This window comes from Homo sapiens, chromosome 11 (assembly GCF_000001405.40).
Source record: "Homo sapiens chromosome 11, GRCh38.p14 Primary Assembly".
In the NCBI taxonomy this organism is placed as follows: domain Eukaryota; kingdom Metazoa; phylum Chordata; class Mammalia; order Primates; family Hominidae; genus Homo; species Homo sapiens.
The window spans coordinates 11127764-11151205 of NC_000011.10; the positions used below are offsets into that span (position 1 = coordinate 11127764).

The window sequence follows — 23442 nt, forward strand, 5'->3', positions numbered from 1 at the left end:
TTTACGCTCAATGTGAATATTGAGATGCGAGGTATGGTTCTCTTTATCATATTAATTACTACCTAGTTTTGTTTTTCATTGTGTTATTGTATTTTAGGCCCTGTGAGTTTTAAGCTTTCAAGAGGTTCTATTTTGGTGCATATCAGGCTTTGTCTCAAGGTTTAGAACTCCTTTTAGCATTTCTTAGAGTGCTAGTTTGGTAGTGACAAATTCCCTCAACATTTGTTTGTCTGAAAATGACTTTATTTCTCCTTCACTTATGAAACTTAGATTTGCAGGATATGAAATTCTTGGCTTACAGTTTTTTTCTGTTTAAGGAGGTTAAAAATAGGACCCCAGTCCCTTCTGGCTTGTAAGGTTTTTGCTGAGAGGTCTGCTGCTCTAACTTCAAAGAGCAGTACAATAAAAGCATCAGGTAACCTACAAAAACTGCTCTTAGAATTCTTCCCTTCATGCTGACTTTAGATAGCCTGATGACTCTATGCCTTGGTAAAGGTCTTTTTGCAATGAATTTCCCAGGGGTTCTTTGAGCTTCTTAGATTTGGATATCTAGATCTCTAGCCAGGCCAGGGAAGTTTTCCTCAATTATTTCCTGAAACAAATTTTCCAGACCTGTTATTTTCTCCCTCAGGAACATCAATTATTCTTAGGTTTGGCATTTTTACATTATCCCATATTTCTTGGAGACTTTGTTCATTTCTTTTGATTATTTTTTCTTTATTTTTGTCTGATAGGGTTAATTCAAAAGCCCATCATTGAGCTCTGAAATTCTTTCTTCTACTTATTCTAGTCTTTTGTTAAAACTTTCCACCGCATTTTGTAATTCCCTCAGTCTGTCTTTCATTTCCAGAAGTTTGATTGGTTTTTCTTGATGATATCTATCTCTCTAGAAAATTTTTCATTTATATCCTGAGCTGCGTCTTAATTTGTTTATGATAGTTTTCACCTTTCTCTGATATCTCCTCAAGTAGCTTAACAATTGACCTTCTATAGGTTATTTTAAAGATTTCATCTTGGCCAGGGTCCGTTGCTGGAGAGCTAGTGTGATTTTTTTGGGGGAGTATTATAGCACTCTGTTTTGTCATATTACCAGAGTTAATTTTCTGGTTCCTTCTCATTTGAGTAGATTATTTCTTCTAACTATTCTTGAATTTATGTTTGATTTGACTGTATTTCTTTTATTTGTTTTTAAATTTCTTTTTTCTTCTTAAGGATGAGACTTTAATGCTTATAGTTAATTATAACCTAATTCAGTTCTTGGTGCTTTCATGGGTGAAGACTCCGTTAAGAGTTTCCTGGTTAGAGAGAGTCTTTGTATGATAGCTTTCTCATATGCTGGTTGTAGTAGCAATGTGCTTGGTGTGTGAACAAATACACTATCTCCTATGGGGCTGAAATGGTACAGGTATCTTAAAGCTGATCTCATTCTCCGGTGGCATGCACTTTTTTAATTATTTATTTTCCCCCAGTAAAAATAGCACATTTCTTTCTGCTTCTTTGTGAATTTCACAGTTACTGAATCAGGTGGAACTCAGTCAAGACTTTCAACTTTCAGAACTTTAGGCCCTCTTTCCCCATGTATCCTGACTCAGCACTGTGTAGTGGCAAATACCAAGTACTAGAGACAGAGTGCTGGGGTCTGAATTCAGTTAATCTCTTTGTACTTCAGTTTCCTCATCCATAAGACATATAATAAAAAATTTATTCATAATACTGTGGTAAGGAATATATATATATGGTCTTCAGAGGAATTCTTAGCATACATGGACTTTATAAACATTGGCTATTAAGACTTCACAATAATTCCTTAGGTTCTATCCTCTACTAGGAGTAAATGAATGCAACTACCAGGTAGTTTATTTTCCTAGACTCTCATATTTGGAGTAAAGGACAGGAATACATTAATTTGTAGTTTCGGGACTACAAATTAGTGGCACTGGGAAAGCAAATTCAGTTCATAGATGCATTTTGTTTGACCTGAAAATGTTTACAGTTTTTTTAATTTGAGGGCCTTTGGGTGAGACATGCATTCCCCAATTAGCCACAGTCCCTCACCTTTTCTTATCACTTTAATTTCTATTTACCTGCCTGACTCCTGTAAATGCTTTATTTAAGCCAGCAAGAAGAGATCTACTGTAAAAGCAAAAGAAATACGCAGTCCTTTAGTCTTTCTGCAATTGCAGAAACAACTTATAAACAGGCATAATTTCACAGGGGGTCCAGATATTGAAGTTATCTGGTAAACTTTTAAAATAACTATGATTATCATGCCCAAGAGAGTAATAGAAAAGGTTGAGAATGTTGGCAGATATCTGGAAGCTCTAAAAAGAAACCAAATGGGGATTCTGGAAGTCAAAATACAATAACTAAAATAAATATTTTAGTGGTTGAGTTTACTAGTTGACTAGACACAGCTGAAGAGAGAACTAGTAAGTTGAGTATAGCTTAGAGAAAAATATTAAGAATGAGGCAGGAGAGACAAAAGGCAAGAAAATAGTTCATAGAGGGTAAGAAACATGGAGAGCACAATGAGATAGTCTAAACATATCACTGAAGTCTCAGAAGGAGAGAAGAAAAAGTAAAACAGAAACAAGAAGACGTAATAGTTGAGAACTTTTAAAAACTGATGAAAGATCTCAAGCTACAAGAATATCTAAAAACTCCAAATAGAATAGACAAAAAGAAATGCACAAAAAGAGAAGCACATCATAACAAACAGCTGAAACTCTTAAGCAAATTGAAAAAATTATGAAAGCAGAGGAAACAATGCAGATTATTCTCAACGATGCAACAACTAGACTGTTGATTTCTCAAGAGAAACAATGGAAATTAGAAGGCAATGTAATTTACATTTAAAATGCTGAAAAAAATAACTGCCAATCTAGAATTCTATACCCAGTAAAAATATTCCTCAGAAATGAAGATATTATAAAGGCACTTTCAGAGAAACAAAACTGAGACAATTAGTTACTTGTAGACCCTTAAAAGGAATTAAAGGGAATTCTAAAGTACATTCATCAGACAAAGGAAAATAATTGCAGACAGAAGATTGAAGACCCAAAGAGGAATGAAGAACAATGAAAAGGGTAAATAACATAGCTAAGTCTACACGGATATCGACTATATAAAATGACAAAAATAAAGTCTTATTGTGTTTGAAAGATACATAAAATTAAAAGTAAAATGGTGAGAAAATTGCATTAAAGTACTCTAAGTTCCTTGTATTGATCAGGAAGAGAGTAAAAAAATTACCAATTAACATTTAAACTTTGATGATTCAATAATGCAAACTATGACAAAAGCCTCTGGGTCTAAAAAATAGTAGTGGATGACAGAGTCCAAATCTCTCTAGACATCCTCTGAAAAAGGCACCCCTTGTTCTCGGTTAGGACATCTCAACATCATCAAGATGTCAGTTCTTCCTAATTTAATTTATAAACCTATTGTAATCAAAATAAAATACCAAGAAACTTTTTTGTCCTGGAGCTAAAGTGCCTGGAAAAATTAAGATACAAGAATAACTAGGAATAATACTGAAAAGCAAGAGCTCTGAGATGGAACTAGCCTTATCACTTATTAAACATACTACAAATCCTCTAACTAAAATGATGTGGTACTGGCACATTAATACACAGAAAGACTATTGGAATGGAAGAGAAAGTCAAGAAACCATGTATATAATACAAGTAGTATATCAAATCACTGGGGCAAATAATTGCTTTTTAATAAATGATATGGAAAAATAGCCATTTGTAAAATATAAATTTATATCCTTCCCTTATACCATACACAAGAATAAATGCAAAATGAATTAGGTATCAAAATATGCAAAATTAAACTATACAAGTACTTGAAGAAAACATGGGTGAATGAATTCCTGTATATCCTGAGTGGAGGGAATATTTTCAAATTGTAACTTAAAATCCAGATGCAAACAAAAAAGATTGTTAAGTTTGACTACAGAAAACAATTTTTTTTTTTTTTTTGAGAAGGAGTCACCCAGGCTGGAGTGCAGTGGCACAATCTCGGCTCACTGCAAGCTCCGCCTCCCAGGTTCACACCATTCTCCTGCCTCAGCCTCCTGAGTAGCTGGGGCTACAGGCGCCTGCCACCACGCCCGGCTAATTTTTTGTATTTTTAGTAGAGACGGGGTTTCACCATGTTAGCCAGGATGGTCTTGATCTCCTGACCTCGTGATCTGCCTGCCTTGGCCTCCCAAAGTGCTGGGATTACAGGCGTGAGCCACCGCGCCAGGCAGGAAACAATTTTTAAAAACATTTTTTAATAGCAAAGAATACCGTAAGTAACTCAAAATGCAAATGACAAATTGGGAGAAAATACTTGCAATATATATTACAGATGCAGGTTGATATCCCTAATATATAAAGAATTGTTTTTGATTGAGAGGGAAAAGTGACAAAAATGGTAGTAAAGTGACAAAAGACATGAGCAAACAATTTATAAAAAATATTAAAATAGCTCTTAAATATACGAAATACAAAACTTCACCCAAATGAAAATTTAAACTAAACTAAGATACTATGTTTTAGCCATCAGATTGGCAAAAATTCAAAAGCTTGAAAATATGTGTAGTAGATGAGGTTGCAGGGAAATATGGAGTCTCATGTATTGCCGGTGGGAATGAAAAAAATGGTGTAATCTCTGTAAAGGGGAATTTGAAAATATCTGATACAGCTACATTTTCGCTAAGCCTTAGGCTTAGTAACCCCGTTTCTAAGAATTTACTTTATGCCAACAATGTGCATAAAGTTTTTCACTGCTGCATTTTTGTGTGAATGCAAAATATTGGAAATTGCTTAGATGTTTACATATAGGAGATTGGTTGAAAACAAAATATAGCACCTACATACAATGGAGTATCTTGCAGCTGTTTAAAAAAAAAAAAGAATGAAGATTATCTCCATGAACTGATGTGGAGTAATTTTCAGAATATATTTTTAAGTGGCCAAAAGCATACTGCAAAAGTGTATGTACAGAATGCCATCTTTTGTGTAACAAATAAAGGGAAACAATAAAACATATGTGTATTTGCTTACTTCTGCCAAAAGAAATGAAGGGCGAAAACAGTAAAAGAAGTTACTTACAAATATAAAAGGAATGGGATTGAAGGGGCAGGGCAAATATTGCTACTTCTTTCTACATGCCTTTTTGCATAGTTTTGACTTTTGGAATCATGTTAATGTTCTACATAACCCAAAAAGCAAAATAAAATAATCAGGAACAGAGAAATTAACTAAAACTAAATGCAAGCAGACATAGAAATTCAGCTGTATTTCAAATTAATAATGTAACCACATTGTAGGCGGGGAAAAACTCTGGTCCAAATAACTTCTGAACACAGCTCTTTGACTCTACTATATATCCTCAGTTTAGAGAAAATAACTACAAATTTTGAACTATTTTTCAGAAAGCTTCCTTTTGGCGGTGCAAGTAAAGCTATTTTGAAACTATTTTAAATGCACTGTAGGACTGAGTGATTGAGTAAATGGCTTGGTGTTTGTGGGAGCTAGGATTCTAAATGTGGAAGAGAGAGGTCTCAACATTAAATAAGGGAACGTGGGGAAGAACTCTGTGGAGCTGGATGGGAACTGTAAATGCCAGTATGAACTCAGGATTTCTTATTTATAAGATATTCCTTAGCTCTACAATGAAAAGACATAAAAATAGTGACATTCCAGTAGCAATGAGTATACCTAGTGCCAAAGTCATTAAAGGGAAATCGTTAAAAAGAAACCAGGGATCGTTAGAGAAATGGCTCATTTCTCAGGGAAGGTACAAGATAGATCTGGAACATTCTTTTTTTTTAATGCCAGAAAACAAGAAAGTACTCAAAAACAAATAAAATGAGGAGAGTGTGTTACAAAGATAAAGAAACCACCTTGAAAGGTCACTGACTGGATCAAATCTGGGACAGTTTGAGCATCAGAACAATAGGGACATATAATTATGTTTTATACATATATATAATTATATATTATAACCCATTTAAATAGGGATGAGTTTAGGTAAGAGATAGGTGATAGACAGGTAGATAATAGACAGATAGATAGATGAGAAGGGGGGTGCTCAGTTGATATATGCTGCAAATATTTCTTACAGTAGAATGCCAACTGGTAAATGTGGAGGAAGTAGTAGAAGTGGAAAAATCACTATTTTATAACCAACATGATAAAGACTGGATCAGGTATAAATCATCAATATATGTGAAATTGAAGGAGAAAATCTGATGAGGAGCAGGATATTTTGATGGTCTCAAAGTATCTCCCCATAGATCTAGATACAATGTCTAGATAGGACATTCTAGAACCCCAAATTACAGTATTTGAGATTTAGATCTCAATGCACAGGCTTAACTGCAGATCGGACACAGCAGGTCATTATTCAGTATTCAAACCTTGACATAGAGAAAAATATTAAAACACAGAAAGTTTGAAAGTAAAAGAATGGACAAAATTTTATTATCTAAACATTAATGATAAAAAAGTTTATATAGTTATATTTTTGCCAGACAAAGCAGAATTCATGGCAAAAAACCATGACTAGAGATAAACAGGGACATTTCAGAATTATAAAATATTCAACTGAAAAATAAATTTAAAATGTTTATGCACTTAATAATACACCTTCAAAATGTATAAAGATTGACACAGCCATGAAGAGAAGTAAGCAAATCCACACTTGTATTGGAAGATTTTTTTAACACATTGGTCTTGATATTTGACAGGCAAAAAAGGGAATAGAGACATTTAAATAGCATAATTAGCAAATGACCTCATAAATATTTTTAAATACTCCACCCAACAAATTAAGAGTATGCATTTTTTTCTTTTCAAGTATACATGAAATAATTATATTCTAATTGACCTTATGCAGGGTCATAAAACAAATCTCAACAAATTTCAGAGAACTGAAATCATACAGAGAATGTTCCCTGTCAATTATACAATTAAACCTGAAATCAATAACGAAGACATAATTATACGTTTTTCATATGTTTAAAAATTTAGAAATATATTTCAGCATAACCCATAAGTCAAAGAAGTCACACAGGACAGTAGAATATTTAAGCTGAATAATAATAAAAATATCAAAATATGTGTGTGTGGCATGTGTGTGTGTGCAGTAAAGAAGAAAGACTGAAAAAAGCATTGACTCAGGCACGTTTCTCAAGAAGCTAGAAAAATAACAGCACATTAATAGAAAATAAAGTAGAAGGAAATTAATGATAAATGTAAGCATAAATTAATGAAACAAAAATACAATGGAGAGTATCAACAAACCCAAAGTTAGTCCTTTTAAAAGACAAACATCCTTGGTATACCTCTATTGGGATTGAGAAGAAAAGATGGGGATCGGGTGGCTGGAGTGGCGCAGCTCTAGCCAGCAAATGACCTGCGACATAACTATTTGCAAAACTAATGGGGAAGGCCATTCAAGATAAAGATAAGTTATATCACAGGAAAGCAATTGAAAATGCAACAATGAAGCCTCTGAATGAAGGACTAATTACACTGAATTCAGCGCTTATGAATCTTATCTGCAGACATGTACAGACTACATCCTAAGATTGACTTCTGCTTCAATGGAAATACATGAGCCAGTGCCTTATTGGAAGTGATTTGTGTGTTTTAAGAACGGGTGTATATCGGTAAATCAGGGATTTCTTCTTGGTTTGGATCCATTGCTGGATATGAAAGATGGCAAGTCCGGATAGAAGTAAAGGGAAGACATTAAAAGCAAAAAAAAAAAAAAAAAAAAAAATGCCCCCAGCTTGCTGGAAGCAAGTGCAGATTCTGAATAAGTCAAGGCATGTTGAAGCACTGAAAGCAGCAGCAACTGGGAGTAATGTTCCAAGTGGTAATCAGAATTTCAGTCCTAGTGTCATAACTAGCAAATGTAGACATTCTGAAAATGGTGCTTCCTCATTGGACTCTAATAAAAATTTGTTACTAGAGAAAAGTAAAGTATTCTCTCAGAATTGCAGAAAACCAGTAGAAGAAATCGTTCATTCAGAAACAAAATTGGAACAGGTTGTTTGTCCGTATCAAAAGCCAAGTAAAACAACAGATTCCCCAAGCAGAGTCTTTATACAAGAGGCAAAAGATTCACTGAACACTTCCAAAAACTGTTCTGAAAACCATTTTGAATATTAGACGAATGTAACAGGATCCCTTTTTGAGCAGAAAGGGGCTTGTAGTCTAAAGTCCAGTTTCTGTCCACCAAGTTTATTGAGTGGTGGTGTTCAGATGCCAAAGTCTGCAGCAACCAGTACTGTGGATAATAAGAGAACTGACCAGATGGTTTTCCATTTAGAAACAAACTCCAATTTGGAATCACATTTGCCTTTTATCAAAGAAAAAGTGACAACATTTTAAGTTCAGAAGACTTAGGTTTTGTGCCTGTTGAGAAAACACCTAACTTGGTGAATTCAGGCACTTGTAACAACTGTGCTGATGACATTTTGAAAACTGAAGAATCTAGTAGAACCTGTCCTTCCAGCATTTCAAATTGTGAAAGTGCAGATTCAACTTGGCAGTCATCACTTGACACTGATAACAACAACAGCCATTATCAAAAAAAGAGGATGTTTTCAGAAAACAAAGAAAATATTAAATGCATGAAAACTTCAGAGCAAATTAATGAAAATATTTGTGTAGGTTTGGAAAGGCAAACAGCATTCCTGGAACAGGTCAGACATTTGATCATAGTATAAATTACGAACTATTTGACAACAAACTGAAAGAATTGAACAAACACACTGGGAAGATAGAGCGCAGGAATAAACATGAAGGAATAGCTGATAAACTCTTCGCCAAAACAGCAAAACTCCAAAGACATATTAACACAGTATTATTCTCTCAAAGTTATTGTTTGGAACCAAACATGTTATCCAGTAATGGAGCCTGTAAGGTTGCAAATTCAGAGATTATGAATTTGGATAAGAATCTGGAGTTAGGGCCAGGCACGGTGGCTCACGCCTGTAATCCCAGCACTTTGGGAGGCCAAGGCGGGAGGATCCCTTGAGGTCAGGAGTTCAAGACCAGCCTGGCCAATATGGTGAAACCCTGTCTCTACTAAAAACATGAAAATTAGCCAGGCATGATGGTGGGTGCCTGTAATTCCAGCTACTTGGGAGGCTGAGGCGGGGGAATCACTTGAACCTGGGAGGTGGAGGTTGCAGTGAGCTGAGGTCACAGCACTGTACTCCAGCCTGGGTGACAGAGCAAGACTCTGTCTCAAAAAAAAAAAAAAAAAAAAAAGAAAAAAAAATAAAGAAAAGAAAGAATCTGGAGTCAGTTAATAGTCCAGTTTAAAGAGGTCTTCTGTGAATTATGAGCCTTCTAACCCTTCAGAAAAAGGAAGTAAAAAAATTAGTTTGTCACCGATCAAAATGAGTCTGTTCTGAAAGTAACAATGATGATCTTATGTTGATTTCTGTGAAAAGTCCTAATTTGACAACTCCGGTTACATCAAATCCAACAGATAATCGGAAAAATTACATCAGGAAATTCCAGCAATTCTCCCAATGCTGAAGTTATGGCTGTACAGAGGAAACTTGATTCTACAATTGATTTGACAAAAGAAGGCCTATCCAACTGCAATACAGAAAGTCCAGTATCCACCCTGGAGTACCTTTGAAAACTGTTTTAAACTCAAAGAGCCTCATTGGCACAAAATGCAGCCCAGGTTCCTGAGTCCTTTGAGCACCTGCCACCACTCTCAGAACCACCACCACTAATACCCGAATTAGTAGATAAAATCTGAGACACACTTCCTCACCACAAGCCTGAGCTCAAAGTGAAATGGGTTTTGAGACCCAGGGGCATTGCCCTGACTGGCAATATAACCAAAATCAATCCCAGTGCACTCCTGTAGAAAGCTACCACCTCTTCCTGTGTTATGAGAACCCTAATAATAAGTTGATTTGGAAGAAGACTGGAGAAATTAAAGCTTTATCACTCCCAAAGGCCTGCCCTTTATCTCAGTTTTTAGTTTCCAACAAATATTATTTTTCTGTCCAATCAAAAGATATTTTTGGATGCTATGGACCATTCTGTGATATCAAATCTGTCCCTGGGTTTTCTGAAAATCTTACCTAAAAGAGAGGTCTTCAATAATTATGTATTGTACTACATTTTTTCCATATTTGAGTTGTTTGTTTACAATATCACTGTAATACTATTTGCCATTATAAAAGGTCAGCTCAGATTGTAAGCCCTTTCTATAGAAACAGTCTACTTCTATATGTTGTTAGTGGCCAGTAATTTGATGAATTTCTGATATGTATTAAATATATCCTTCCAATGGGTAAGTTCTAAAACATACGCTCTCATGGACCCATGTTGCTGAGGTGTGTTGTGAACAATACCTTTGGTGATTGTGGAACTGCTGCTTCCATCAGAAGACCTGGGATACAAGCAGCCACTGTTTCCTCCATTGACAATCAGCTTTTAGTGACCTGCTGCGGTCAGCATAGCTACAGGAAAAATCAGGTTTTTTTTTGTTTGTTTGTTCTGTTTTTTTGAGACGGAGTCTTGTTCAGTCGCCTAGGCTGGAGTGCAGTGGTGCGATCTTGGCTCACTGCAAAATTAGCTCTTGACTGAGGCCAAATCATCCCTGGGGTGCACCTCCACCAAGATTTTATGAGAAGATGACATTTTGGGCTGCATAACAAAAATAAATTATAAAAATTAAAAGATTTCATGAAAAAAGAAGAAAAGGGAGAAGACACCTATATATCCAATGTAAGGGATGAAAAGTCAACTTTGCTAGAGATTCTGCTAATACTAAAAATAATAAGATGATACTAATGGCATATTATTAATAACACAAACTAGATTTAGATTAGATGAATAATATCCTAGAGAAATGCAACTTAGAAACCTGAAGATCTTCATAACTTTGGGGTATGAAAAGATTTTTTTTAGGCAGGATATTAAAAAAGTGCTAACTATGATGGAAAATAGATGTTTACCACCTTGAAACCAAGAATCTCTCTGTTCTTCAAATGACTTGATGAAAAGTAAGCCAACAATGGGAGAAAAGATTTGCTACACATATAGTCAACAAAGAGCTCATACTCAGAAAACAAAAAGAACTTCTAAAAATCAATAAGGAAAAGTCAAACAGCCAAATAGAAAACATTGGCAGACAACTTGAATAAGCACTTCACAAATGAAGAGATCTAAATGACCAGTGAACACATGGAAAGGTGTTGGGCCCATTACTAATTGGGGAACGTAAATTAAAACCATGAGTTACCAATGTACTCACCAGAATGGATAAGCTACAGAAGTCTGGTAATACCAAGTCCTGTGTAGCTCTGGAGTAGAGGTGCAACAGTTGGCACTCTTCTCACTGAAGGAAACCAGAATGCATCATTCCAAAATCTACCTCTTTGAAATAAATATTTTTGAACTGAAGGCAATTAAGAAGTAGCAAAGGGAGGAAGAGCTCTTTCTATTCTCTCCTCTGCCCCTACTGCCTAAAGACATGATATAAATTATCCTTTACTGGAGACGACTGCTATTAGCTCAGAGATGGCACCAGAGGAATCTACAAATAACCCTTACTCCATTACTTTATTCCCATATTCTACTCATAGCTACCTCTGGAAGCTTAAAACTTCTTTGCTCTGTCTTGTCACTTCTCTAAAATTTATTATTCTTTGTTGAAGATGTTAAATAAGCCAGAGTTTCAAGTCACTGCTTTGAGGTACCTTTCACTGAAGTTTCTCTTATGTGATGCACGCTGTTTGCATTTATACACTTGTCTGTTTTTTCTCTTGTTAATCTGTCTTTAGTAACAGGAGTCTGTCTCAACAATACATTTATAAGGGCTGAGGAAAAATTATGTTGTTTCCTTGGCATCATGCATTGCTGGTGGATAAGCAAGTTCACACGATTTATATGGAAAGGAGTTGTCAGAATCTTCTGAAGTTGAACATATACATACTCTATGATCCCAAATTTCTTGGAATTTCCAAAACTTCTTAGATTTATACCCACGGAAATTCATGTACACATGTACTATGAGATTTGTATAAAAATATTCATAGCTGCGTATTGACCATGGCTCCAAACTGGAAGCAATGTGCGTGTGCATCACTTGTAAAGTGGAATAATCTAGAGCCATATGCTAGTTATGTCTGGTGAAAAAGCCAGATTCAAAAAAGTAAATACTGTATGACTTGATTTATATTAAGTGCAAAAACTAGGCAAAAAGCTAGTGCTTAGCAATGTATGTTTAGGAAGTAAAGCTATAAGGAAAAGTATGGAAGTAATTGCCATAAAAATCAGGATAATGTTGCCCTTGTTAAGGAGAAAACATGAGGTGGCTTCTGGGTGTTGATCATCATCTAAATCAGGAGTTGGCAAATTATAGTCTGGTACCTATTTTTGTAAATAAAGTTTTATTGGAACAATGCAAGCACATTTGTTTAATATTGTCTATGGCTGCCTTCACAATGCAACAGCAGATACAGATGCTGTGACCTGAGTGTTTGTGCCTTTCCTACCAAATTCATATGTTGAAACCTAATCACCAATGTGATGATATTAGGAGGCCTTTGGGAAGTGATGAGATCATGAGGGTTGAGCTCTCATAAATGGAATTAGTATCCTTATAAAAGGGGCCCCAGAAAGCTAGCTTGCCCCTTCTACCATGTGAGGACACAGTGAGAGGGAACCTTATAGGCCAGAAACCAGGAAACAGGCCCTTACCAGACATGGAATCTGAGTCAGCTGGCACTTTGATCTTGGACTTCCCAGCCTCCAGAACTGTAAGAAGTATAGTTTTATTGTTTATAGGCCACACAGTTTATGGTATTTTGTTACAGCTGCCTGAATAGACTAACATAGCAGAGTTAGGTAGTTGCTGAAGGGACCAAATAGCTAAGTAAAATATTTACTCTTCTGTTCTCTAGAGAAAAAGTTTGCTGACCCCTGACCTAGACTTCCACCTGGATATTGATCTCACAGGTGCTTCTTTGTGACAAATCACTGCCCTCTACATTCTATTTCTGCTGTACATTTTTCTTTATCTATCTTTCTGTATATATGCTATATTTCACAATAAGATGATATTTAAGCTCTATATTTGAGTTTCAGCAGAGAACAACAGAACTGGGTGGAGATGTGGGCACTGGGAGGTGGGTGATTCACCTTCTTAGAACCTCCTTACATACAATTTGCACTTACTGGTCAGCCAGTGTATACTTCACAGGTTTCCAGAGTTGTTCAAGAACAGTCAAAACATGAATGTCCCTTTTTTTTTACAAACGAAGAAACTGAGGCTCAGAGAGATTTAACTGTCTTGCAGAGTTCTCAGAACTTGGGTGAGGAGATGGGATTTGAACACATTCTGTCCAACTATGAAGTTCATTACACCATGAGGTTGCCTCCTAGCTATTGTTAGAAACAAAACAAATAAGAAGGAAAAACTCAGCCTGATCCTCAGGCATTTTAAGGGCCTGTAGCCAGCTCCTAAATTTAGCCAGTATTTTTTTTTTCCAGAATACATTAAAAAAATGCTTAACTGGATCATGTTTTTAGTCTCCTTAATAAATTCCTTTACCAAAAGGCTTGCAGAATGGGAACTATGCCCTGGAAACTTCTAGTCCTAGTAACCTGACTGTGGTTGCACAGGAGGACCAACCTTCAAACCCAAGTCTGTTTCCAAAGCTTGCAGAGGCCTACAGGTGACTGATAGCTTCAATCACACCCCACTCCAAGCCTCTCTGCAAGCCTTGAAAATGAAAGGGTGGGATTGGCCCAACCAATCATTCCCGACAGAGCTTTGTACTCTGCTTTCTTTGCAGTACTCTCAGAGCCACAAAGGAAACAATCACCTTTCCCAGGAACAGTACAGGCTGAGATGCCTTCTCAGGATTTTCTCTGCTTCAGCAAAGCCCTTATTGCCTCCTGCTCCACAGTTCACCAAGTGTAAATTATGGGGAAGATTAACCTGCCTATTATTACAATTGTTCACTCAACTCTTAACACCAAGAGCCATTACAGGGAAATTAGACTTCGGGGAATGCTATTTACAGCTGCTGGCCTGGCACCCAGGGCACTGCTACTAAATTCATTTATATGTTTTTCCCATGGAAATTCTCCGTGGATTTAGGTTACTCTTTCAATTTCCTAATCCTTAAGTGACCTTACATTGTCCAGCTCATCATAACCCCTTCCAGTGACATGTTCTTTCCCATCATACTTGAGATTATTTCTCTAACAGGCAGAGTTATGACCCACTCTTGCTAACCCTCAACATACAGGGGAGCTGTGGGCTAATGTGCTTATATTGGCATCAGAAAGACCTAGGTTCAAATTCCAGCCCCGGGAAAGAAGAGGCAAAATAACCATAGACAAGTTATTTAATTTCTCAAAACTTCAGGTTCTGCATACATGAAATGCACAGTTGTTAAGATTCAATGAAATAATACATACAAAACATGGAACATGATGTCGGGTTCATAGGAAGTGATGGTGGCCAACATGATAGTTGTTTAATTCCAGGTATCTATTATTGTTGTTGTTTAATGAAATCCTGACTTTATTTATAGACTGAGCAGACTGGGAGGGACAAGGAGCAATGGGAAGGGTTTATGGAGCCTGATGGAAATGGGACTTGCCAGGATGGACTGAGAAAATTCAGTGAATAATGGCTTGGGAGTAGGAAATCTGCCCTTCCCACCCACTCCCACCCATCGCCCACATTCCCTGGCCTGGGACTTCTGCTGCTCTACCTACCAGACCTCATGTGGTCCTGTAGCCCAGGGCTGGGCATGGTCCCTTGACTCTTTGTAAACTCCTGGCTGTAATTCTGTGTTCTTTCTGGCACTGGCTTCATAGCAGCAGAATTTTAACAGACGTCAAACGTCTGGTTGTGTTTGGCTTCGGTTTTCAGTTAGAATATAGTAAGTCATCCTTTCCTCACCACTCCAGACCTTGCATATTTCTGAAGACACATTGTTTCTCTTCTTCCCTAGTGGCAGGGATGGGCCTCTGCCCTGCTGTAGTTTTGGTATTTGACATTTTCAGGGCCACTTACTGTAGATGTCACTGGACTTTCAGTCCTGTTTTCTCACTTGTGTCTGTGAAAATGACTCTGAGGTTTGCTGGGAGCTAGGATCACCCCTACTTTACTAGTGAGGGAATGGGTAGTCTAAGACCAAGTTATATCTGGGTCTAGATGCCACATCTCTTGGGTCTGTGCCAGCACACTGTACTCTAAAAGCCATCATTGTCTCCTTCCTAGAGGTGAGGCTTGCAGTTGCAGATGGGTATCAACTCATGGGAAGCTACTCCCTTCAAAGACCTGGATGACTTTATTCTGGATGTTTCTGGCAAGGCCTCAGGTCCAAAGAATCAAGAGGGCCCTGATGGACCCTCTGCACTTACAGACTTAGTTCCTGAACCTACATGTCTCACCACCTTGTCCCTTCCTGTCTGTTCCAACCTGCCTGGCATCAGCCCTCACCTGTTCCCCTCATTCCCTCCTCTGCCTGTTCTTTCCCTTGGCTGTAGTCAATAGCTCCTTCAACCTTCCAACTTTTGGCTTCGTATCCTGGCCACTGACACCCATGGTGTCTTTGCCTTTGACCTGGCCCCAGCATGCCTGTGTGCTGCCCTCTTAGGAAACTTTCATCTTTTTTTTTTTTTTTGAGATGAAGTCTTGCTGTGTCACCCAGGCTGGAGTGCAGCGGTGCGATCTCGGCTCATTGCAACCTCTGCCTCCAGGTTCAAGCGATTCTCCTGCTTCAGCCTACTGAGTAGCTGGGATTACAGGCACCCACCACCATGCCCAGCTAATTTTTTTTCATATTTTTAGTAGAGAAGGGGTTCCACCATGCTGGTCAGGCTGGTCTCGAACTCCTGAACTCAGGCGATCCACCCACCTTGGCCTCCCAAAGTGCTGGGATTACAGGCTTTAGCCACCACGCCTGGCCAGAAACCTTCATCTTGAATTTGTCTTCTGGACCCTGATGGCAGCTTAGGAAGTCCTTGTAGGCTCCGAATGCTCCATAATATAATCCCAGAAGCACATTCTGATCTGGTGCTTGTGTATCTGATACCATTCAGGTCCCATATGCACACCTGAGGCAGGCTGGACATGTAGAACGGTTGAATAACTGGGCAAAATTTCTAGTGATCTCTGTTCCTCCCCTTCAGAAGGAAGATGATATTCCACACTGCTGGGATAACGCCTCGTCATCCCCTGAAGTGGCCTGGGCCGCCCTGCTCAGCCTGTCCCTGGCACAGGCTGCCCCTCACCTGGCAGGAGTCTATGGGCCTTACAGCCAGGGCCTGCATTTTTATATCATCCTAAGCCAGCACTATCTCTGCCACCACTCACCTTGGCTCAGTCTGCTCAAAGTCTCTCCTGCTTTCACATATCAGTCTGCTCGCTGTGAGCTTGCCCCTGGTTTCGGATCCTAGCTTACCTGCATTCCTGAACTTGATCCCACCAGTTCAGTTCCTTGCTTACTGTAGGTCTATTCTCTCTTTAGCTGTGGCACGGTGGAATTGACCACCTGTGCTGGTTAATTTTATGTGTCAATTTCGCTGGACCTTGGTGTCCAGCTAATTGGTCAAACATTATTCTGAATGTTTCTATGAGCGTGTTTTTTTTGGATGAGATGAACATTTAAATCCATGGACTCTGAGTAAAGCAGATTGCCCTTCATTATGTGGGTGGGTTTCATCTAGCCCACTGAAGCCTTTAATAGAACAAAGATCGACTTCTGCCAGCAGAGGGATTGTGCCAGCCGACAGCTTTGGACTTGACCTGCAACATGGGCTCTTCCCTGGGTCTCCAGCCTGCCAGCCCACCCTGCAGATCATGGATTTGCGTGACTCCATAATTGTGTAGGCAGTTCCCTTCACTATCTCTCTGTATAGATACACATCCTATGGGTTCTGTTTCTCTGGAGAACACTGACTAATACAGCTTCTAACACAGGGATGATTAACAGAATGGATTCCAGGGCCTTAAAAAAAAAAAAGTATGAATTTTAATGATCAACTTAAAAGTTATATTTTTCACCTTTTTATTGTAGTAAAATATACATAACGTAAAACTTACTATTTTTTTCCTTTTGCCATTCATTTTATGCAATTTATTAAAAGAATCATTCATTCAAAAATTATTTATTAACTGTCCTGCTATGTGCAAGGAATCTATAAGAGGTGCCAGGGTTAGAAAAACAAAATAAACACAAAAACAAACGTATGGTCTATGACCTCAAAGACGCACCATGTGTAGTCAAGGAAGACAAAAAACATATGTAACAAACCTGCATGTTGTGCACATGTACCCTAAAACTTAAAGTATAATAATAATAAAATAAAAAAAAGAAGATGAATAATTCAATAGAAACTAAACGGAATGATGCACATGAAAACTTACTACTTTAACCTTTTTTTTTTTCGAGACACAGTCTCGCTCTGTTGCCCAGGGTGGAGTGCAGTGGTGCGATCTCGGCTCACTGCAACCTCTGCCTCCCAGGTTCAAGCGATTCTCCTGCCTCAGCCTCCCAAGTAGCTGGGACTACAGGCGCCACCACACCCAGCTAATTTTTTGTATTTTTTGTAGACATGGGGTTTCACTGTGGTAGCCAGGATGGTCTCGATCTCCTGACCTCGTGATCCGCCCGTCTCGGCCTCCCAAAGTGCTGGGATTACAGGTGTGAGCCACCGTGCCTGGCCTATTTTTAACCATTTTTAGGTGTATAGTTCAATGGCACTAATTTAAGGACATTCACATTGTTCTGCAATCCACCTCCACACTCATGTCATCTTTGCAAACTGAACTCTGAACCTATTAAACAATAACTCCCCGTTTCTTTCTCCCCTCCAACTCCTAGCCTTTCTAGTCTCTGTCTGTATGAATTTAACTACACTAGGTCCCTCATATAAGTGGAATCACACGGTATTTTTCCTTTTGTTACTGGCTTTTTCCCCTGTGCAAAATGTCTTTAAGATTTATCCACGCTCTAGCACGTGTCAGAACAGAACAACTATTAAGCTGGGTTCCTCGAGCAATTTTCTAAACTGCTTGAGTCATCTCATCTGTAAAATGGGAATTGTAAGAGTATCAGCCTTATGGGGTTCAATGAGTTAGTATGTAGAAAGTACTTGAGCAGTAGCTGGCTCATAGTGAGTGCTCAATAAATGCAGCCTGCCATTATTAGGTTCCTCTCTGATCTGGTGCCAAGGGTCCTTTTTCAAGATCTGCTGCCCTGCTCAGAATGGTACTCTCTGGCCATCCCACATCTCGCACCTGGCACATGGTTTTCTCAATGAATATTTGTGACATGAATGTACACATGGAACTTATTCTCTCCCGGGCTGTGACCCTGGAGGGTCAGATGAGGGACAAAATCTCTAAGCTGTGACAGGGAGTAAAATAGAGCTCTCTTAAGTACCACAGTCACTTAAACTTCAACAGTTTTCAATATGGTACCTAAACCCCAGTAGCAGTAAGCTAACAATTTCACGTCAGGATGAAATAGGAAGCAACATTGGTCTACAACTTGGAGTTGATGGCCAAGTACAGAGTTTAAGACCTTTGCTACTTGTTGGGAGTACAACCTTGAAGTACTTATCTCCCCTGAAAAACCTTAGTTTCCTCATCTGTCAATGTGGATTACAAGCTCTACTTCCCAGGGCTGCCATGAGAACTTCGCATGAGATTCTGATGGAACTCACTTTGTACATGATGCTGCGCCACAAGGGCCACCCTCTTCCTCAAGTCCCTGCCTTGCTCGGGTGGATCTCAGCTACCAGGGAGCAGCACACCATTTGCAGTTTGGATTCCATTTCCTCTTGACTCTTCTTTTCATTATAAACATGATAAAAGTGAGAGAGACAGATGGCAAGACTTGATTCACTTTTACAAAATGTTTTTATGGTGTGAATGTAAAGCTGAAAATGAGGGGAACGAGAAGCTTTCTCGTTCCCCTCAATATCAGGGGAGTTGGGGAGGTGGTGAGCCCAGTGGGGAGGTTTTGGCCTCCAGGGGAAAGCTAATTGCCCATGGCTTGAGCAGTGCTCCCTGCCACTCGTCTACCACTCTGGACACCCTAGGACATCACTGTCAGTGAGGAGAGACAGAGAGCAGATAGACTTTCTCCTTAAAGCACCTTCCCGAAGGGACACTCAAAGTCAGACACTGGTCACTTACTGGCCGATGGCTCTGGGTTGGACCAAATGACGCTGCCCTTTCCAGCACAGTGAGGCAATGTTCTCTGGCTGAAGCCAGGGCAGCACAGAGTGTGCCTGAGTTCCTCTCAACATTTGATTAAGGCCAGGCTTTCCCAGCATGGCACAATCGACATCTTGAGCTGGATAGTTCTTTGTTGTGGGTGCTGTCCTTTGCATTTTTGTATGTTTAGCAGCATCCTTGGCCTCTACTCACTAGATACCAGTAGCACCCTCCCCATTCCAGTTGTGAAAAACAAATCCCCCCAGCGGCTGGCAAAACTGCCCCTTATTGAGAACTACTGGGGTGCCCCAGTAGTTGGCACTACTGATTGGGGTGCCCATTGTCTGCCCTTCTCGTGGGGCTGGACAAGCCAGATGGAATAGGCAGAGAGTTACCTGGCAGCCCTTTGCTGGGGATCTTTTGTCTACTCTCCACTCTGGATCAAGGAGCTCCACTGGCCTCTGACTTCTGGTTGGCTTTGGCCAGTGAGGAACACAGGGAGGAGATCCAAGGAAGGACAGAGGGCGAGGTCAAGGTATTTGTTCCCCCACTTCCTCCCTGCAGGTTTGAGGGTGTGGCTGCCTCCCTTGCAAAAGGCCACCTCTCCGTTTTAGTGGCCTGCTCCAGGTTCTGGGACCCGCTTCTCTCTTAGCCGCATCAGGCCTGGGGGTGCTAACAGCTCCTTCTCTCCCACTGCTGCCAGCCCCAGGGTGCTGCATGCTTTGGTCAGTTACCTCCACCCTGTCTTCACCTTTCTGAATTTCTCTAATTACTACATTTGAATGTGCCGTCTGCTTGCTGTTGAAACATAACTGATTTTTACAAACAAATGTTTATTTTTCTTGCATTAGTTCATTTGACCATTCATTTCTTCAACACATTATTTTTCATATCTACCTATCCTGGGCCAGGCATGATGCCAGGTACTGGGGACACAGAAATGGATCAGACATCATTCCTGCCTGAAGGGAGCTTACAGTCTTCCTGCGGAATAAGACAGGAGGATGGTGATAGTCCGAGACCTGGTGCTCACGTGCTCTATGAGATGTCTGGTAAAGCCCTGGGGAGGACACAGGAAGAGTATGGCCTAGGGAGCCTAGTGACCCAGGGGAGAAGGTACTGGATCTCCTGCAATGATGACACATCATCAGGTGGTTCTACGAGGACGTCTCCAGATCACAGCAGCGCCTCCTAGGCAGAGACACAAAGTCTGCAGGCTCCTCTCTCCAGGCCCTGGGGACTCTCTCTGGGGAGGAGTAAGCTATGCACATTCAAGCCAAGAGCCTTCTTGCCAGGGCTCCAGAGCTCACTCACCCTGAGGCCCTCCCCTCTTTGGCTATTTGAAATTCCTGACTGATGCTGTGAAGAAAGAGAACATTCCAGCACAGAGAAGTCTTTCCCCGCAGCAGCTGCCAAACAGGCTCTTTGCCGAGGTACCTCCCTGCTGCCTGCCAGCCAGCCATATTTCAAAGGTCACAATTTCCTCCCTGTGGTTTTCTACAGAGCTAAAGTCTCCAGGACCCTGAAATAAATTAAAATATTGATTGATTCTTAATATTCTCTCAAATCTCTCAAAATCTCCAGGTCTTATATAAATCAGTGTGCCGGTTCCAGGGACTTATTCAATAATCTGCAAAGTATCCTGGTAATTACTTTTGGGCTGACCCCATGGCAGAGGGAGGCCACCTTTCCATCATTTTTAGGGCCCTGGGTACAGTAGCTGATCAGAGGACTCTCATTTCTTATTTTACTTACTGAACCTCTTCAACACAGTGCCTTGGACAGCACGAGGCAGCCCACCTGCTGGAACGAGTCTGTCGGGCAGACCTGGGTCAGGAACTTGCCTCTCTGCTGCCTCTTTGCTGCCCTGCCTCATTCTGCTTCTCCCCTTCACCCCTCCCACCTCATCCCCTGCCTTTTACTCCAGGGTCCTTAGCTTTTTAGTTCAAGGACAAGGCAAGGATAGTTCAGAAATTAATTTAATAACACTCCATTTCTTCAGATTAAGTAGAGAGCTTGTCTTATTGGGGAAAAGCTGTCTGAAAGCCTCAAGCACATGGGACTTTCTGATGCTGCCCAAGGCAGCTGCCTGGATTTCAGGAGCGAGGGTGGGATGGGAAGAAGGAGCGGGGAGATGGGCCATATGCCTCTCATAACAGCGCTCGTTTATGCTGCAGTAAGTAATAAAGTGACTTCAGCTCATTAGGGGCCAATGCAGTTCTCAAAGAAGGGAATGTGTTCCTAAGGAAGCTAGAGATGATGCCTTGTGTACGGTCCTCCCTATCTGACCCCAACCACACCTGAGCCTTGCATTCTGCTGCAGCATCCTCTAACATCCTCCTGTCCTGAACGCCAGACAGGTGTACGGCCAGCCACCCTGGAACACGTTTTGCTCTTTCACCATTCTTAGCCTTTGAATATAGTAGTCTCTCTATCTGGGATGCTTTGCTCCTCTTTCCCCCATCTGAAAAACTCCTGGTCATCCTTCAGAGCCTAGTTCAAGGCCAGGTGCGGTGGCTCACACCTGTAATCTTAGCGCTTTGGGAAGCTGAGGCAGGCAGATCATTTGAGGTCAGGAGTTCGAGACCAGCCTGACCAACATGGTGAAAGCCGATCTCTACCAAAAATACAAAAAATTAGCCAGTGTGGTGGTACATGCCTGTAATCTCAGCTACTCGAGAGGCTGAGACAGGAGAGTCACTTGCAACTAGGAGGCAGAGGTTGCGGTTAAAAAAAAAACAACCTAGTTCAAATGTGAACTCTTGTGGGGAACTCCCATACTTCCTGTGTTTTCCTCTGCAGCTGAGGATTCAGACAAACCTCAAAGGTATTTGCAGACATGTCTGCAGGTGTCTGGCTTCCCAACACCTTAGAGTAAAGCTCTCATGGTGACCTATAAGACCCCACGTCATCCACCTTTCATTATCTCTCTGGGCTCCAGCAACATTGACTGCCTTACTGTTCTTCAAACGCCGGCCACCATTGCCCCCCACCCCACCCAGGTTCCTTGCATATGCAGTTCCCTCTGCCTGGGATGCTGCTGTTCCCCACAGCAGAGGTGGAAGAAGCTGTTCTCACAGAGGGGACATGGAGGTCACATTTTAGGTCTCCAGGTGAGTGTGTTGCAGCAGGGGCAGGGTGTGGGGTTCTTCTGCTCGCTTCTGCTTGGTGCAGGATGAGCTTCAGGACACCAGTGGGGGCACCCTGTGGAGCAGAAGCAGAGAGAGCCACAGACCTTGAGACTTGTGGGGAAAGGGAAGGAGCCACCTGGGGCTCAAGAACTCACCTCGTGGCAGGCACACCCAAGACCTCCCCTGGGAGCCCAGAAGCATTCAGAGGGCACTTTGGAGTGGTTGTGAGCAGAAGGAAGTTACGACATAGTGAGGTCTGAGGTAGTACCGTCACTGGGACCCTATTCCTGCCCACAGGCTAGAGGAGGCAAAGAGTTTCCTGTTGTATTGACAGCATCGTCTTGGGTTACAAATAGATTTCACACGGAGACATATGCCTACCTGTTCAAAGTGGCTGAAGGGCTTCAGGCCAACATCATGGAAAACACTCTCCAACCAACCATCTCAAGCCTTTCTGGATTAGGACTGATATATTCAAGTTTATTTTCCTCAAACTGCTGAGTAGCAAATGAGAGAATTTTTTGGTAGGTCTTTGCATAGGCCCAAGCAGGTGGGGCTTGCAACCCTGTATCACAGGGTGGCGACACATACACACATGCACACACACATGCATACACATGCACCTGCACCATGGCAGGTAGGAGCCACAGGAGTGAGGCTGGTACTTCAGCCGATGGTGCCTTTCCTGTGGGGAACCATCTGTCCTTTTTCTTCTGCCAGCTGCAGCCAACTCTCTGGTTCTTCTTTTTCGTCCCACAGCTCCAAATTCTCAAGAGATGGGGTATGGATAGTGGTCATAATCTTATCCCTCCCCCCAGCATGGAAACTTAGGGTTCAAGACAAAATGTCTACTTTTTTGTTTTTACTTGAGAGCATCTGGGAGCTAGGCCAGCATACAGGCTTAGCGGGCTATAGCTAGAGCAGGGAGCTTCTCACCAGGTTAGTAGGAAGTGTTAGGATGAGATGAGGCTGAGACCCAAGGCCCAAGAGGAGGGGCTTAGGTGACTAATATGAGAAGGCCAGGAACAATGTTAAAACTGGCAGCAGACATGGAAATCAGAACCAGGGAGACAAGAGCAGG

The 23442-nt window shown here is 40.7% G+C and overlaps 1 long non-coding RNA gene and 1 pseudogene across 2 annotated transcripts in view; both read left to right on the top strand.

Moving 5' to 3' along the window:
* Nucleotides 1-23442, top strand: part of LINC02752 (long intergenic non-protein coding RNA 2752) — a 68227-nt gene that overhangs the window by 12379 nt on the left and 32406 nt on the right. The window lies entirely within an intron of this gene.
* Nucleotides 7708-8977, top strand: LOC100288365 (activating transcription factor 7 interacting protein 2 pseudogene; annotated as a pseudogene).